Raw genomic sequence first — 20,306 nt, forward strand, 5'->3', positions numbered from 1 at the left:
ATTGTTCAGAGTAGAAATTGGGTTTTTTTTGCAAAATTACTGAAAATTCACAACTATTGCACAAGTTCCTCTGATTACTTGTCACCACTATTGGCAATCACAAAAGGACGATTTTGTCGTGCAATTCTTGAAGAAATTTATAGGAGTAGTAATTTACTAGTGATTTTCCTCCCACTGTTTTCCCCACAGAGTTATGTGATTATGGAATTCTCTGGTAACTAAAGAAAAATTATGATTATCACCATCTTAAAACTTCGTATCTTCTGTCCTTGAATATAAATTATATTTTCCAAATAAAGCTATCATCATTCATCACTATAAAATTTACATTCAGTAAGCGATGTCAAGATGGCTGTTGCTTTTTTTTAATCCAATGAAAAATAAGTCTGTATAATAAGAATAACCAAAAAGAAAGAAGAAAAGTATTGGCATTTGAAATGTTTTTTGCTGCTCAATGAAATAAATAAATCATTAACATGCTATTACTTAAACTCTTAGAAACTCTTGGTAATCATTGGTTTTTAAAACATCGTTTTTCATTGGAAATTGACTTGGCTTATGTTTCACTGGTGGTGTGATTTTGATATAAAACTTTCTGAATATTGCTCTATGCTAATAAATTCTCTAGAGAAAAGATATCATTTCATCAAATAAATTTTGCAATTTTAGAAACAGCCACATCTTGCCAATCTATTGAGTGTATCTATATATTTAATTACCCTGCACCTGTGTGAAATGATTGTTTAAACAGTTTGTATTCTGAGTGAATTACAGAGTCTGCTGGCCTTATATTGATATTACCTTCATTTATTTATGTACTACACCTACCTAAAACTTTGGCCTCATAATAAGAACGTTAGACACAAAATTCCTACTACATCTACCAAGTGGTACATAAGCCAAGTGTGAAGAAGTAGAGTGTGGGTGTTTAATACACTTTATGTTAGAAATCATCTTATTCTCTATTTATTGGATTGGTAAAAAAGTAATTACAGTTTTGCAATTAAAACAAAACTGGAAAACTGCAATTAGTTTTGCAGCAACCTAATAAAAGCAAATAAAATTGTAATAACGTTATGATTATTTCAACGATCATCAAATGCACAACAAAACTTATTGCATATTTGTATGATCCTGGAAAAAAATCACAAATAATTTACCTTCTCTATGAATATATTTTTTACAAGTAAAGCTATCACAAGAATATTACAAGCCCTGGACAAATTGCTTCTGTTGGTGAAATTTTCTTTACATAGAACTACATCTCCCTGCATTTGGGGGAAATTAAGAGGGAGGAACTGCCAATGATCAATTTCCCTTTTTCACTCCAAATATTTATTATGTTTTATTTATTCTTAGAGTTCATCAAATTATTAGAAATAACGATATGATTCCACTATTCTTCAGAAACTCTTATCTTTTCTCTTTAGTCTTAAAAATGATAGTCTCTTAACCATCAGGATATTGTAATAGATCTGAAAATACTGATGTAGCACCCTGGAAGCCAACTGGGTTTGCTTCATCTTTTGATAACAAATGAAATTTTAGCTCAATCCCAATTCCACATGGACAGACAACCCGGCAGCATCCCTTTTTATGTCTTAGGGAATGCTTGAAGAAATTTGTTGGTTCAAGAGGCACAGTGTGTGGTGTCTCTAGGATCTCATATTTACAGATTGTTGCTGTCTCTTTTCATTCACTTACCATCATCCAAAGCCTTCCTTCCTTTCTTTTTTTTTTTTAGTTGCTCCATATACGAAAGTTTTTTTAAAAAGTCTATGTAGCAGAATTTTACTTATGATATATACAGTGATATGGTGGTGGCAGTGAAGCCAGCTTACATAATAGCTATGATGACAATGCCAAAATGAATATTATACATCTCTATTATTATAAGTCCTTTGGCCACGTTACTGTCATATATTTCTTATAAGCCTGCTTTCTCAGTAGTCCCCAAAAGCCTGTAGGTATGTTGCTCAGAACCACTTTCCAGTTTGTAATCTTTTCCAGATGATTTGACCCCATCAGCACATTCTTACTCATTTCTCATTCAGAGCTTTTAGCTCTTAATTTGTGCAGATGTTTCTGCTTGTCCCTGTTGATTCCTCTTCATAATTTGTCCCCTTGCTCAATATACTGAGCGTCTCGTGTATGAACTGCCTGCAAGGGCTCCTTTTTGTTTGACAGCAAGCTGGCTTTAACCTATGGGAGACACCAGCAGGAAGTCAAAGGTGGAAGAGAAAAAGAGGAGGGACTCTATTCCACTTTCACCCTATTGGGTTACCATGAGCTTACTATGTCCCTTTATATAAGAAAACTGCTCCTGTAGGTAGCTATATCTATTCTCCTAGGATTGGTTTCAGAGCCCTAAATTTTATACTAAAAATAGCCTAACGAGATTTTCTTTCTGAACCAAAAGAATATTTCTAGGAAAAGATATGTGCATGCAGTAACCATTACATTTTTCTTACTCTGATATACACATCTAAAATGAGTCTTTTGTTTGTTGTGCTATGATAATGATAATTTGAAATAAGGTACAAAAAAGCAAGTGATGATTATGGAGAGCTTTGAAGATTTTGACTCTCTTATGAACTGACAGGGGCGTCAAACATAATAATGTATCTAATTATACCAAGAAACACATAACCCAATATTTGCTAATTACAAGAAACTAAAAGCTCTTAGAGAATCAATTTCCAATAGAAAATTTCCCTCAGTGGCATACTTTTGTCAGCACCTGGCACCTGAAAGACAGGAGTTGAAAAAAAAATGAGATAAGAGGAAGTTTGAAATTAACTAATGTTATTTTGCTTTAATATACGGCTTAGTGCTGATTTTAGTAAGTATATTAGCAAAGAGGCTTGTAGACAGATTAGAGAATTTCTACAGTGTGTTAGCTTTCTGTTCTCCTTAACATTACCACAATTCAGCAGGTTAAATTAATACAAAACTAGTTATATTTTTGTAACTCTAGGACCTTGGCATTTCATATATCCTTTTAACTATTTTGAATTGGTTCACTAGTTTTATACATGAATAAGTTAACCATAACACTTGCATGTATTGATATAATTCAAACTTGGAGCTTGTATAATTCCATTTGTTCTAATATTCAGGTATTAAAAAATCATGCTCATGAGCAATGATATGTAAGAAAAAACAAGACTGAGTTATTGAAAAAATTACACATATTTTCTCTCTACCACTATTGTAAGTACTCCTCTGAACACAATTAGATGGATTAGATGCATGTGAACAAAGAACGCTGGAAGAATATAACAAGCACTCAATGTTTTATGACATCAAAGGCAAAGCTATATCAGTGCTCATTTCCCTACCTCTGGTTTCTCTGCGTTTTGTACTTTAATCCACTACACCTCACCTGCAGGCTCAAGAGAGCCTAACTTCTCAGCTGATAATCATAATAATCAAATAATTAAAATACTATTTATTAATTTATTACCACTTACATGGTGTGCACAATGATTATCTTATCTGAGCCTTAAAACAACCCTTTAATATGAGTTATTAATGTTTTAATAAATATAAAGCAACCCTTTATACTTATCTTTATTTTACTGATGCAATAATAAGACATACAGAGGTTAGTTAATAACCATTTCACTCAGCAAGTGACTTATCCTAGGTTTTGCTGAATTGCAATCAGCCATTTCTGCTGAGTTCCTATTTGGCCCTTGAAGAAACTTCACTGAACCTGGATAAGTAAAAACACATAAAAAATGTCTCCTTTCAACTTCTCTTCCTTTATGGGGTACATTCTAAGAATTGAGTATGATGTTCAGGTCAAGATGATGGACTTCGGAGTTCCGAAGGAAAACTTCAAATCTTAGCTTTATCATTTTCTGGATTTGAAATCATGAGCAAGTTTGTCAAACACTCTTAGTTTTGGATTGCCCTTCTGCAAAATGAGGACAACAAAATCTATCTGATGTTTTAAGGCAAGAGTAAATAAGATTCTGTATGTTAAGAGAATAGAGTATAGCTGGTAAAAAAAAAAAAAAAAAACAAAACAAAAAACAAAACAAAACAAAAAAAAAAAACACCACTGTGTGGTTCTGACCAATTTATCTAGTGAGTAATCCTAAACCCCGTCTAATATTAAAATATTTCTCTGAACTTTCTGATTTTACCACCCTCCAAATCAACCTGGTGGTCTTATTGCTTCATCTCTTTCCCGGGACAGCACAAAGTAACTTGCCTTGTGATGAAAGCTCTTAAGAACAAACACATTTCCCAGCAAAAGTTCGTGTACTTGCAATCTTACTCTCCAAAACTTCACTGCCAGCCACATTTTTCACTGACATGATGGATGGGCTCTAAAAGTTCTTCTGCCCGTTACTTGAATTAGTATTAAACCAGTGATGTCCTCAGGAGGCTCAAGAGTGGATTCTGCACTTTTCTTTCCATCTTGCATTCAGTAACATTGTATTGAGAGCTTGAAGTCAGCCATGGAAGAAGTTTATCATTATAAGAATTGGCAAACACTACAAATGAGGTTTTAGGTTTGTCCTCTTTTGTTTCCTTTAAAAAAATTCAAATAGTTGCTTTATTAGCTCACCCTTGATTAAAACTAGTATGCCCTACAGATCGGTACTACTCAAATTGTGATCCATGGACTAATGCCAGTCACTGAACTATTTCTTTTCTACCTTGGATTAAGTACAATAATTGAGTGTGAGCATTTGGAAACATTTAGAGCATTTTGAAATTGTCATTACATTAATATGCTTAATCGGTTTTTGTAATTAATTTCTATTCAATTTTACAAATGCTTAAGTTTGTAATAGATTGTAAAACAATGCCATTTAATACATTGTATTGTAAAAAAAATGCTCATTCATGCATTGTATACAGTGTATATAGCACTGTGCTTAAGTAGTCCCCCACGCCTTCGCATCTCTATAACCAGATCGCTTTCACCCACTTTTGCCTTGCCATGGAAACTGGAGCTTATCCAATCCCTTGCTTGTTTCCCCTTCTCATGTTTAAGGGCCAAAATGACTGATGTCTGAGCCAACTCAAATTACTGCAGTGGACTTTTGTAAGCTCATTTATTTCTCTGTTCTATGAATTCCCTTTTTACTGGGACTTCATTTTTTATGAGGCCAATAAGAATGTTTCTCTAATGTACAAAACTATCTAAGAATCAAAAGAAAGAGATTGGCATGGATAGAAGGAAGAGAAAGTGCTGTTGGCAAATGTGGCCAGAAGCAATTCTGCAATGAAAGCCTTTGTGGATCTTCAATACTTGCTTGGAAGTTTTGGTGCAAAATGTCTTTATTTTTAAACCCAAGCTTATTTTGAAAGCCATAATTTACTTCAAAAACTTTGGCACTGATTGCCAGCACTTCAAATAACCTACCGAGTATTTTATAGTTTGTATTTTCCCTAGTCTAAATTTATACAAAAAAAATTTCAGTGTTATTTGAAAAGTCAGAAACCAGAAAGGGAGGAAAAATCTTAAGCCAAATACTTGGTATACTTATCTCCCGTACATCCCATCTGACTCTATTACTGTCAATTTTAACTCTTGGCTAAATTAAGTGGATCTGTTTATATTTAGCAACTGCCTAAACAGCAGATCTGTACCCTGTCCTCCCCTTGTCACCTTACACTGACTCCTGACTGCATAACCCTGGTAAAGGAAATGAGTATTTATTTGGACTCCATTATGTGCCACCTAGTTTATATTTAGTACTACGTTTAATATTCACAATTATAAAATAGGAATATTTCTGAAACTGGTCTAATTGCCCCATAGAACTGATGTTTATGGTTTCTTTTGAATAAACATAGAAATTGACCCTCCGAGTCTTGACATTTGAGAGTTACATTTGTCTGAGTTCCTTTCTCAGGAAACCAGCGATCAGGACTCTCAGATAGTATCAAGGAACTGAACTTTACCAGATCACCACATCTGGACAATAAGATGCCACACCTTCACCCATCATGACTGCATAATTGACCACCAGCTTCCTGTTGACAACCTCTCTTCCTTACTCCTTCCTATTTCCCACAAATGGTTACCTTTCTTCCCTGTCATGTAACCCCCAAATTTCAGTCAGTTGAGGAGATGGATTTGAGACTAATCTCCCGTCTCCTCAGCTGCAGCACCAGGTTAAAGCCTTCTTCCCTGGCAATACTCATTGTCTCAGTGATTGGCAAGACCTAGACCAAACCCCTGGCATTTTGGTACGCTGATCTGGAATGCATTGCTTGTGGCTTTGCTGTCTGCTGCAGGCTGGAGGAGCTTAAAAGCCTTTCTAAGTAGCTGCCTGTCCTTTTAGGACTGGATGTAGGTTTCTGCCTCTCTTTTTGGCCCTGGCATTGCTGGCCCCAACCACATTCCTGATTGCCCGGGAAGAACAGCCTTTGAAATTCAACATCTGCTTCTGGGTAGTTGGTGAGTGTCCTCTCTGGGCCCAGACAGCAGGATCTGCTCCTCTCTACTTGGGAAACTTTTAAATACATTTCTGTTTGCAGGTTGAACAAGCCCACCTGACCAAGAGAGGGAAGCACGCTAACTGTTTTCAGTTTGGACACTCTTGGGGGCTTTTTAGTAATTGCATGTGTTTCTGAGCAAGTGAGTGTCTTTTGTGGGTACCAGACAACAGGATTGCTCCTCTCAACTAGGGACAGTCTGAAGAATTTTGGTGTGCAAATTCATCAAGCTCACCCCATGGAAAGAGGAAGCTCCGCTGTTTCAGTTTGGACACTCTTGGGGTTTGTTGGTTGCTGCAGCACTTGGATTGTATTTTGGTGATTGTTTGTGTATGTCAATATAGCCATGGGAAGTAAGAATTTGATAAGCTGATAATCTTATGTAATACTGTTTGGCCTCATATCTTTGAATCTGGATAAGTTTGGCCTCTCCATGTGCCTCGTTTTGCTGCTGAATGGCAAAGCAGGGTGGAGTTTTGTGTATTCAGGCTTTTATGCTGTTGTTCAAAGCAAGGTCAGGCTTGATTAGTACATGATGTTCTTCTGTGGTTTTTTCTGGCTCCAGTCATCCTTGGAGTGTGGAGAGATTTAGCCTTTAAAAATCAAAATGCCACAGAAACTGCTATACCCAAAACTTTGGTTCACAACCTTCATTGGATTGCCTATCAGGTCAAAAGAAGTTTAGCCATGTGAACGTGTTCATAAGCCTGTGAGTTTGTATTGGTATCTCATGGCTAGAGTTCCAAGGTAAAAGTTATTGGATCTTTGTTTGCATGTATGTATATATGTTTAGATGTGTTTACATGTATGTATATTATTTCATATGTTGTGTCTACCAAATTGGCTTATAAATAAAAGAGCACTCCTAAATTAAGTCCAAGCAATTTTCAAGTTCATGCGACTTAAGTAAATCTTTAATAAACAAGTTGACTTTAAAAGTACTGGTAAAATAAAAATTTAAATGTCATTGGAATTGTCAGTATATATTTTTAACTTGGTTTTATATTTGTGTCTGCTAGATATTTTGAGGTGTCAGAGTTTGGCACAGATGATTATAAATCTATAAACCCAGCCAATACAAAAATAATCTTTGTTTCTGTGATTTTTTTTATAAATAGACTAATTTAATGTTGTTGGTTTAATGAATACAGCTTCATCTTCTGAGTTATTAGTGAAAATACCCATGTATTTAACTTTAAAATTCTTACTAAGATGGACACTTACAATTCACAGGTTACAAAATAGTTAACAAGGAAATGACTAGTTTGGTCTAATATCTTAGTTCTCATAAATAATCTAGATAACCTGTTTAAAAAATGAAAGAATTGAGTACATGTAAATGAAACAACTTATAGGTTTACTTTTTGTATAATTTTAAATTTAAAATTATTTTTGATGTTCATTAGGTGTCTGGGTCATTTCTAATTAATAAAAGGTCATGATATTGGGAAATATGCTTCTAAAAATTGTGGAATGTTCTCATCTATAAAATACTAACATCTGATAACTCAAGACTTCTTGCTTACTAGGTTTTCACTAAAATTTAAAGCTACTAACAATAAGATTTCTAGTTAGTGTATAATTCTGTATAAAAAATATGCCAAAAATATGTGTTCTTATTAACAAAAATAATAATTTTGTCTAATTCAGCAGTTATCTAAAGGTTGATTCAAATTATGGACTATGGTAAATTTTTGTCCTAAAATAAAATAATTGGTTATTTTAAAAATTAGGACAAAACAGAAAGTCCAAGCATGTCCAATTTAGTTTTTTTTCCCTGTTTCTCTGTGTCTATCTTCATGCACATACAGAGAAAATAGAAAATTGAAAAAATTTATGTAATAAAATACTCTTGAAAATCCAATAAAAAATTAGAGAAATTTGGCTAATTAATATTGCTCATAGTTAAAGCTATTAGCATTCATGAAGTTAAAATAAAAAATATTATACAAATTACATTTGAAATTTGGCAATCATTTTTTAATATAGTTAAGCATAGAGCCAGATTTAGCATGGAGCCAAATTTCACATAGATGTTTGCATTGCTTTGTTTCACACCGTATCTGCTATTCTGCATGTACTAAAGTACTTACCATTCACATGTCTGAAATATGTTTCTTAATTGCATGAAGTGTATAGTGGTGTTAGTGGACTTACAGACATTAACTTGCATATCAATAAAAAAAAAATCCATCCTGTGTTTTTTTTTTTTAGGCCCTAGGTAACACTAGCCTCCAAGGTAAACTGAGTAGGTGAAAAATTGGGAGTTGATTTACTGTTTATTTGTTTTTGCTTCTAATCTTAATTTATTTGATGTTTGTCCTCCTTTGGATTTTACTTATATATACACATATAAAACCATCTATGTTTTTTAGTTTCTAATGGAAGGCTTATATTTGGTTCTATGATTAGTCATTTCATTTCCTATGCATTTCCAACAATTCATCATTTGCTCTATTTACCTAAAATACCTAAGCTACCTTGCTCAAGCCATTTAAAATCGGATTGACTTTGCTTATCTCTTATATAGAGAGCTGTTAAGTTTCCTGGCATAAAAATAAAGGATTTATAAGTTCTGAACAGAAATAGTTCATTATATATTTTTTATTTAGAAAACTAGGTAACAGTAGAAATGTTTAAGTGGTGTTTATTTCCATGGTAACTCAATTCTATCAATAATTTGGGTTGGCTTAAGATCTTTTCCTTCAAATCATGAAGGAAAACTTTGATGTGGGTACTAAGTTTTAATATTCAGGAAAGATTGTCCTTGTCATTATCGAAATTATATTGATTGGGATTGCTTTCAAACTACTTTAGTTGTGCCTACCATTGTTAAAATTAAGTGACATTCACTTGGATTAAGTAGCAGTTTAAAAAAACATGTTCTAGTGATTTTTGAACCTAAGCTTTTATCAAATATGAGAATATTCTATTGATGTTTGGACCCAAGTCTTCTATCACTGTTGGGTTTTCATATGTGTACTTGAAAACACATGTTGCGCTGGTTTAAAGATTCTAGTGGTAAAAGTTACCTAATCAGCCATCAGTACTATATGTGAAAACCAATCTTGGAAATGTGTGACAATACACTTTTAAAATAGCTGAACAGGAATTATTGTGTGTTTGTTCTTACTTTGCCCTTGTTTTGTTGTGTACTACTGAAGTGAAAGGAGATTATTCGTCCTCATACTGAACTTCCAAAGCTGATATTTGCATTTGCCATTTTTTTATGGAGAGAAGTTAATGATCTTACTTTGATAAGTTTGCCAAAGGACTTATCCCATTTTTATGCTTTTGGTATAGTTCTGTAACTAGAATGCTAGCAATTAGATATATGCAAGAAGTAACCTAACCACTTTAATATAATAGCTTGAAGTGCTGCAACTGGACACCAAATGACAGTATTTTAATTTGTGACATTGTTGGAGAGAATGATAGGAATTTCTGCAGTAAAAATGTCCTATTTACTAATCCTTATGCTGTTAAGTTGCAAGGCTTTGACTCCTAGGTTTGAAAAAGGCATCAACTCCTGATAAATCTTGAACAGTGATGCCAATCAAAGCCTTGTCTTTAGACGTGGGAGAAGATGATAATAAAAATGAACTGCTTTCATGAGACACAAAGCCAGAAATGAAAACTATTCAATCCTTCTAGGCTCAGGAACTATTGTAGAAGAGGTGGGTGCATGAGAATGTAAGGGCCAATTTTGAGGGACAAAATTAGTTCAGAATAATATACCAAGTGCACTGATTTAAGGCCAGCACCTAGACCCATGTGGCAGAATAAGAACATTTTCTTAGAGCATTGATTTTCTCTGCAATAGAAAATTACAAAAATATGAAAGGTTAAGGAGATCTTACTTTATGGTCAAATTACTTTAAAATGTGAGGTGGTGTTTACTTTTCTTTGGATTATACTTAAATAAATGTATTTTTAATGTTTGTCTCAGTATTGTATGTGATTCCTGAAATTCTCATATGTATTAATACATGTTGTAATTATTATGATTATTATGTTAAATTTTTGTATGCCACAGAAATAACCAAATTTCCTTGTCAATTGTGTTTGTCCTAAGACTTTTGTCATCCACAATTCTTTGGCTTTGATTCTTCTCAAAAAGCAACTTATAAGCAGCTATAGTCCAAGACTTGCTTCTTTGGGGGAGTTCATGAAAAGGACTTCTGAATGTGGGTTTCTGATAACTTTGGAGATTGTGCCATTGGACTAAAGAGAAAACTTCCAGGACTTGATTTAAAAGGCCAATGTGTTTATAAAGATTGATAACCCAATATGAACAGAGCAGGAGTTGATTGTGTGGACTGAACTAATGGAGGAAAGAAATAATTTTTATAGCTTTTTTGAAACATTGCTGAGTCTGTTTTGTTTTTCAGAGCCTGGAGGAAATGTTCTTTTGAGTTATTTATAGCCTTTAACAACTGAGGAGAGTACACTCTTTTTAGAAGAATTTTAGGCATATTTCTCTCTTCCTGATTTATCCAGAATTCAGAAACTATTTGTGAATATTCTGAATTCATGGAACTGCAGTTGTTTGCATAAGTTCAATAAAAATCTGTTTTCTTTTATAACAAGACAAAGTTGGAGGAAATGGTTATTTTCCCTAGGCTTTGACTGAAATGGCATGTTTTCAGATATAAGCAGACTGTTTGGAGAAATTGATACTAACTTTATACAGCCAATGAGAACCCCTTAGGACTGGCCTGGCACTTCGTCTACACAGTTCCTTTGCAGGGTTCCTTGTCTGTGGTTAGTGGAGAGCATCACTTTCTGACAGGGCCAAGGAATCTCAAGTTGCTGAGGCCTGAAGAAAAGAGTTCACCCAATTCATACAGGTATCTGCAGGTGCAGATGGATCCTTGCCTGTGCTGAAGATGCCTGTGGAGGTCAAGTCTGATCCTTGGTTCCAGCAAAGCCAATTTAGGAGAGCCTATTTGGACAATGGAGAGCCTATTACTGAACTTTTTGTGGGTAATCAGGCCAAGTACAGTGGGACTGAAGCTTATTTTGCAAGTAGACTGCAAAATAGATCTATCTTTGGTGGAAGTGGGGAACTGGAGAGAGAGAGAGATTATGTTTTAGAAGAAAATTATAGTATAAGATTAACCTCTGATTTGCTTATTGCCCATATTCACCCGTGATGTGTAGAGTTGTCCACACTGCCCCTCCCCAGCTTGAGGCAGACAGAAATATTGATGACCAGATTCTCCATGATTCAGGAATTGATAAATAGAAAGGGGGGCACTGAAACCAGCTCAATTGTCCCATGGTACTAATGTTTATGGTCTCCTTTGAATAAACATAAAAATCAATCCCCAGTCTTGAAACATAAGAAAGTTAAATTTGTCTTATCTGAGTTCCTTTCTCAGGAAACCAACTATCGGTCCTCTCAGATAGTATCAAAGAACTAAAATTTACTAGATCACCACACCTGGACAATAAGATGCAGACCTGTCATCCATCATGACTACCTAATCTAACTACCTGCATCCTGTTGACCAAACTCTCTTCTTTACTCCTCCCTAATTCCTGTTCTCCAACACATGGATTCATTTCTTCTCTGCCATGTAAACCCCCAATTTCAGTTAGTTGTGGAAATGGATTTCAGACTAATCTCCCATCTCCTTGGCTGCAGCACCAGATTAAAGCTGTTGTCTCCAGCAATACTTGTCTCAGTGATTGGCTTTCTGTGTGGTGAGCAGCAGGACTTAGACCAAACCCCTGGTGTTTCAGTAACATTGTTACCTTCAATGTTAGTCAATACATCTTAAACATGGAAAGATCACACAATAAATGACAAAACTAGCATTAAATCAAACTCTTTTGGATTCCACAGACAGTGTATATTCATTCCATAACTTTATACTGCTTGTTAATTATTCAAACCACCTTAATCAGAAATTTCCAGTTTCCAAAAATTGTATTATACTCAGGTTGGCCCTAGGTTTATGAATCGTTTGCTTGTTTGTGTATGTCCTTAGGGTAGCCTTCAGTCCTTTTGTAGAGCCCTAATATGACTAACCCACCAAGAATCCATGCCATCTTGATTCTAATTAGTTTAGTGAACATTTAGGTTCTCCAAAAGCAAATTCTTTGTATAAGGAGATAAAGGAGTGAGCAAAAGTTTCCTCTGTTTGGAGATTGCAGGCAGTGTGGCACCCAAGTAATGAAAATAATAGTTAACAAAAAGTATAGGTACAAAATCAAACCAAAACATCACACAGAAAAACTAATATTGCCTTGACTCTCATAGTTCCAGCTAGACTTTTGAAAGAATAGTATCACTTCATAGCAACTAAAACACTAGCTTTAAAAAATTAAAAGTAACCACTAGGGGCTGAGTACCCTGGCTCACGCCTGTAATCCCAGCATGTGCTTATAATCCTAGCTACTCAGGAGACTGAGGCAGAAATAGTGCCTAAGCCTGGGTTTTCAAGGCCGTGGTAAGCAATGATTGTGCCACTGCACTCCAGCCCGGAGCCAGAATGAGACCCCATTTCTTCAAAAAAAATGAAATAAAAAAATTAATTCAATCAATCAATAAAAATGATCTCCAACAGGATCAAGGTAGATGATAATGAGAAATAAGAAAAATCCACTTACCCTTTTAATTGAAAAAATGCTCAGCATTACTGTATCTAGTTTTTCTTTTTAAATTAATTGGTAGAAAATGTAGTCAGAGGCTCTAAACATATTCTGCAGGGAGCAAAACAATAATCTATATGAAGATTTTTATTGAGATATTATATACATTTAATAAAAGGTACACATCATAAATAATGTATACTATGTTTTCACAAGTGTATACACCTGTATATGCACCCTATAAACCAAGATATATCACTTTTCCTTAGCCACAGGAAGTTTCCTAGTCCCCCTTCCCCAGAAATTTCCACCATTATCAGGAGAGACTACAGGTTTTGTATCTCCCATCATAAATTAGTTTTGCCTGTCCTTGACTATAATATATAGACAGTGAAACTTTAATGTACCTGTCGGGAGCATCAGTATCATGCCCCATTTTATACCAGATAAATATTCATTGTTTATCAAAACATATCTATCCTTGTTACTGAAACACCAGGGGTTCAGTGTAAGTCCGCCTGCTCCTGCACAGAAAACCAATCACTGACACAAGGAAGAAGGCTTTAATCAGGTGCTGCAGCCAAGTAAATGGGAGATCTGTCTCAAATCCATCTCCCTGATTAACTAAAACTAGGGGTTTATATAGCAGAGAAGAAATATAATAATGTGTAAGAAAGCAGAGACTAGGGAGGAACCAGGAAGCAATCATGATGAAAAATGGGTCCGACATCTCATTGTCTAGATGCAGTTATCTGATGAGTTTCAGTTTTTTGATACTTCTTTTGAGAGGCCTGAAAATCTTTCCCTGAGGAAGGAACTCAGATAAAACAAATATAATTTTCAAGCTTTAAGATCAGAATGGTCAGTTTCTGTTTATTGAAAAATAACTATCTATAGGACTATTGGGTTGGGATCATACATCTTCATGTATATGGACATTTAATTTTTCTCTGCTTTGGCATTATGAATGAGGAATCTATAAACATTTTTGTATGTGTCTTTTTGTAGATATCACCTTTTGTTTTTCTTCATTAAGTAAGTAGCTATAGAATTTCTAGGTCATTTGATAAGTGTATGTTTGATGTTATAAAAAAATCTTTGAAACAGTTTTCTATACTCATAAATTTTACAGTGATTTGTTAAAAATATTCAATTGGTTTGCATTCTTTCTAACACACTCTCAATCTTTAGCTTTGGCCCTTCTAGAAAATGTGAAATGCTTTTTCACTGGTTTCCCTGAAGTTTAACGGTGTTGAGCACCTTTTCATGTGTTCATTAACCACTGAATTATGTTGCTTTGTGAAGTGTTTTTTCATGTCTTTTTTCCCCCTTTTTGATTGGATTGTTTTATTTTATTATTAGGTTGTAGGAAGCATTCAGATATTCTGGGTATACAAATGCTCTGTCAGTTATATATATATGTGTATATATATATATATAGAGAGAGAGAGAGAGAGATACGTACATATCTGTCAGAGTATATATAGAAATATAAAATACATATGACAGAATATATATAGAATATATATGACAGAATATATATAGAATATATATATAGAATATATATAGAAATATAAAAATATATATGTGAATATCCAGATATTTATATATAGAGAGATTATGTATATATGACAGTATTTATATATATGCACCTGACATATATATCTGTTTTCTACCCAACAGACATATATATATCTCACAGAAAATGTTCATTTTACATATAGATATAAAATATCTGACACATATGTTTTATATATATAATGGACATTTTCTTATATATGATATATATATTCTTATATATACTTTATATATAAAATATTTGACATGTAATATCTGACAGATATATATATACATGTATACACACACACACACACACACACACACACATATAATGAAAATTTTCTTCTAGTTTCTGAAACTTTTTTCATTTTCCTAATGATGTCCTTTGAGGAGCAGAAATTTTTAACGTTTATCAACCTCAATTTAGCTTTTTTCTTTTGTATCTAATGCTTTGTTTTTTATTGTATAAGAAACTCGTGCCTACTCCAAGTTACTAAGGATATTTGTCTAAGTTTTCATCTTAAATGTTTCTGTGTCTTGTTTTTAGATTCAGGTTTGAATTATTCTTTGTGTATCAAATGAAGTAGTTTTTGAAGTTCACGTCATTTCATACAGATATGCAAGTGATTCCATGGTGTTTATTCAAAATACATTATGTTCATTCCTCTTCTAAATTCCCATTTTGACTTTGTTCAAATATCTATCCATCATATACATGTGTTTTTTCCCTCAACTGTCTATTCTTGTTCCTTGGTCCATTTGACTATTCTTACTCCACTACTACATATTCTTAACCACTGTTTCTTCACAGTACATTTTAAAACAACATGTGTAAGTACAGCAATTTAATTTTTTAAACAGTTTTGAGTATTCATATACATTTTGGAATAAGCTTCTCCAGTACTCCATATTAAGCACACTTAGATATTATTTTCATTTTTGGAATCTAGGTACAGTTTACATTTAGTGTGTTGAATAGACATCAAAGTCACCGAAAATGAGTTTTGACAAATGCATATGTAACCCACAACCCCCTCAAAATACAAAACATTTTAATTACCTCAAAAAGATTGCTAGTCTCTTTCCCAGACTCCTATCTCTAACCCAGGAGGTTATCAATGTTCTGATTTATTTCACCATAGTTTTTTTTTGGTCTAGATATATATATCTAGATATTTATATATCTAGATATATTTTATATATATATCTAGATAGTTATATGCACATAGGATGTACCCTTTTTGTCGGTTTCTGTTGCTCATATTATGTTTTGAAGATTTTTTTTGTGTGTGTTTATGATTTTTTCCTTTTATTGGTGGCTTAGATGTCATTTTATGAATATAACCAAATTTTAAATCAATTCTTCTGTTAATGAATATTGGATTGTTTTCTATCTAATTTTTGACTACTATAGACAAGTTTGGGATTAACATTTAAATAAATTGTATGGAAATATGTTTATTAATTCATTAAGCTTTTCAAGTAATCACTTTCATTCATCAGTTTCTGTTTTTCTCTGGTATTCTGGGCATTGATAAAACTGCAGGGTTATGATACACTGTGGGGTTAGCTAGCTCTAAGGATTTCAAAAGAATTTTTCCAGGAATGGCCTGATGATAAGGCTGGGAGCATGGAAGTTATCTCCTGTCTTTTCTTAGTGTGTTCCAACATCACTCAAAAGTGCAGTGGCAGTAGCAGCTTTGCTTACCAGAAGTCTGGCACTTGCTTAGAGAGGCCAGCACTGGCAAAACTGTGGTTTATTGAATAGATTAATCGCCAAGATGCTGAGTATCATGTCAGGCATTTTGTAATACAACAGGGTTACAAGCATGGAAAAGGCAATTACAGCCTTCAGGAAAATAATATTCTAGAGGCAAGGAAGACTTTACATGGATAATCACCATGCAATGTGACAAGTATAATGATAAATTCTTTACCAGGTAGAGTAGCAGAAAATGAATAAGTATTTCAGTAATAGTGATTGATTCCTAAAATAAGTTTTAAAGTGTAAGTGGGAATTTTCTAGGCTGAAAGTAGTGCCAGTTGCAGGATTCCAAGTAATGAAATCAAAACCACAGAAATGGAGGCTAGAATTAGCATGTTGTGTGCAAACACAATGTATATATTTTTATTTCACTTAACATAATTTCATTAACATTCTTCATATTTTTGCATAATCTGCATAATCAACATGTTTAAGAGCTGCATAATAGTCTACCAAGTTATCATTTAAAACATTTTGAGGATAGTGCATTGCTTCTTTCAAAAGTTATTTCAAGTTTTAGAAATAAAAGATTATTAAAGTTAAATCATATAATGGATATAAAAGATTTACACTTTTAGGATTATGCATTTTATTATATTATTTCTTCTTATTTCTTCTCACTATAAAAGGTTTTGTGTATTTATTCTTTGTAAATATATAACAGGCAGTATTATTCTTACTCAGCAGAGTCTTGGTATTTTAAACTCTAGAGGTCATATCAAATATTTTATCCATAAATACATCATTTTTGTGATCCAGTCACCACTAAAGTGAAAAAGATTGAAGTGAAATTCATATCCTACAAAGCCCTCTTCCAAAAAGTAAATCTTGCTTGTCAAAAAACATGTATTAGTTTTTAACCATAATTTTTCTGTGGTTCAGATACAACAAATAGTTTCATGTGTTTATGTACCCAACTATCCTCCTCCATCTACCCTCTAACTATCCTCTATCAATCTATTTATAGACCATATATACATATTGTGTTGAGGTCTTTAATGAACCAGATTCTCAACTGAAGTTGAAAATATGAACAACCTTATATCCATTGAGCCAATGTGCTCTATAGACGAAGAAATTTAAGGTGAATGAATGTTTTCTAGAGGTGGTGTAGTAACTGGAGGCAAGAGTATTCAAAAACATAGAATAAGTATGCCTATTCCAGCACACTGGAGAGTTTGTGTTTACCACCAATTATTTCTTTTTGTTTGATTACATAACTTCATTGAGACAGTTTAAATTGAATGGCATCTATTTCTTGTGGAATAAGTTCTTTACACAACTAGAAACTTAATTTTGCTTGCATCACCTATAACTAATATACCATATGAAAGATCATTTTTAGATATCTATGTGGGCCATTGAAGTATCAAGTAATTTTACTCACTGCCTTGAGTTTTCTCTGTTATTTGAAGCCCAAACAAAATTAAATTGTACTTTCTCATTTTGGAGAAGAGGATAAGGGAATGGTTGAGATTATCTTTGAAAACTAACAAGTTAATTAGAAAATGAATCGTTTGTATTTATTTATTATTTTTATAAAATCTCTTGTAGATACTAGGATATACATAAAGACAATACAAAGCAAATGAAGTTAGAATATGAAACTTAGAACTTATAAGAAAATGGTAGTAAGGCCACTTAATGCTAAAAACAAAGTGGGCATATAATATTAGTGCTTTGTTTCTCAAAAAAAAATTTTATATTATTTTATATTTTTATTTATTTACTTATTTTGAGGCAGAGTCTCTCTCTGTCACCCAGGCTGGAGTACAGTGGCATGATCTTGCCCCACTGCAACCTCGGCCTTCCAGGTTCAAGCAATTCTCCTGCCTCAGCCTCCTGAGTAGTAGGGATTGTAGGCACGCCCCACCACACTTGACTAATTTTTGTGTTTTTAGTAGAGACAGGGTTTCACCATGTTGGCCAGGCAGGTCTCAAAATCCTCTCCTCAAGCGATCCGCCTGCCTCGGCCTCCCAAAGTGCTGGGATTACAGGCATGAACCACTGCAGCCGGGTTCAAAAAAACATTTTAGGTAAGAAGTGTAATTGACATGCTATGTTATTTCAATCATAAAACAATCAAATGTCTCCTCTTTTCTGAGTGATTAATACAAAAGATTGGCTACTATTAAAGTCTTATTAGCTTAGTTTTCTGGAATTAAATTTCGAATTTAGATTTTATTTTCTCATTCTTTAATGTACCTTTCATTTTAGTATCAGGATATTTATATCACTTATGATTTTAAAATATTAAGGTAGTTCTGGACTTCTATTTGCCTACATGATTCAAAGTTCTTTGTGAAAAAAAATCAACATTTATTGTTAATTATTCTTTTTGTTTGCTTGTTTTGTTTTTAAGACAGGGTCTGGTTCTCTTGCCCTGGCTGGAGTGCAGTGGTGCAACTGACTCACTGCAACACCCACCTCCAGAGCTCAAGTGATCCTTCCACCTCATCCTCCCACCTCAGCCTCCTGAGTAGCTGGGACTTCAGGTGCAAACCACCACACCTGAACAATGTTTGTATTTTTTGAATAGTCAGGGTTTCACCATGTTGCCCAGGCTGATCTCCAACTCCTGAGCTCAAGTGAGCTGGCCGCCTCAAACTCCCAAAGTGCTGAGAATACAGGCATGAGTCACTGTGCCAGACCAAATATTCTTAATTCTAAAAGAAACGTGGTCCCACTCACTCTGTAATATTGCTATATAAAATTTTAACTCTTTGATACCAGAAAACTGATGAGGATTTTATGACAACTAAAAATCATCACCAGGTAAGTCTCCTTTCCCAAAACTACTATAACACTCTACAAATTATTAATAAGTTGAGCAAGTAGCTCTGGATTTGAGGAAATTATCTGTAATTCTTCTCAATAAAAGAAAGTCACAGAGAGTTTTAAGTAAATGTGTACTTCCTATGGATTTTAGTAGTCCACAGTGTTTTCGTTTATTTTTGTGATCATTTGTTTGGTGCCTACATTATGCTTATTTGTGCGTGGTACACAGATGGAAGATGTCCACCCTGACACCAATACTGGAAGATCTTCATTTCAAGTGGTCACAGCCCTCCCTTTTAAGATCTTGCAGCTTAGATAAAATGTACTTTAGAAATGGAGTCTGACATAATTTGGGTCAGCACTGGATCCAATTAACTATGGGCAGAAGGAAGCATCCGAAATGATATGATGCTTTTTTGGAAGTTGGAGCACATTAAAATAAATGAGGACATAGAGTGTGGTAGGGAACTAACTGTTTATCCAGAAGTATTAGTGTTTATATTAGAGTTTATCATTCTATATGCCTTTCACTTTTGACTCATATTTTCAGCAATAATACACATAAAAATAAAATATTTGTATAAACTCAGCTTTTCTTTTAGACCCATTCTGTTAGAACTTTTCTCTCTCAGCAAGTGAAGAAACACAACAGCAAGCCTTTGCTTGGCCTAGCACATGATCCTCCCTACGTGCAGAGTGAAGCAGGGCATTGGATCTGCTAACATCATTCAGAATAATGTTTAAAAATACTCATCATTGGCCGGGCGCGGTGGCTCACGCCTGTAATCCCAGCACTTCGGGAGGCCGAGGCAGGCGGATCATGAGGTCAGGGGATCGAGACTATCCTGGCTAACACGGTGAAACCCCGCCTCTACAAAAAATACAAAAAATTAGCCGGGCGCGGTGGAGGGCGCCTGTAGTCCCAGCTACTAGTGATGCTGAGGCAGGAGAATGGCGTCCCCGGGAGGCGGAGGTTGCAGTGAGCCGAGACAGCGCCACTGCACTCTGGCCTGGGTGAAAGAGTGAGACTCCGTCAAAAAAAAAAAAAGAAAGAAAAAAAACCTCATCGTTTATTTTACCCTATAAGAAAAAGGCATGTGTATGTATACTTGACCACATGCTGTTTTGTAATAATTTT

At 34.3% G+C, this 20,306-nt stretch overlaps 1 long non-coding RNA gene across 1 annotated transcript in view; it reads left to right on the forward strand.

The window, feature by feature from the left end:
• Window positions 1–6,210: 6,210 nt before the first annotated feature.
• The window catches only part of LOC105378029 (uncharacterized), a 47,734-nt gene continuing 33,638 nt past the window's right edge, over window positions 6,211–20,306 (forward strand). Inside the window, exons 1-2 of the long non-coding RNA XR_943077.3 lie at window positions 6,211–6,427; window positions 6,508–7,212. This is a non-coding gene — a long non-coding RNA (uncharacterized LOC105378029). The remainder of the gene's footprint in view (window positions 6,428–6,507; window positions 7,213–20,306) is intronic.

Source organism: Homo sapiens, chromosome 6 (genome assembly GCF_000001405.40).
Source record: "Homo sapiens chromosome 6, GRCh38.p14 Primary Assembly".
In the NCBI taxonomy this organism is placed as follows: domain Eukaryota; kingdom Metazoa; phylum Chordata; class Mammalia; order Primates; family Hominidae; genus Homo; species Homo sapiens.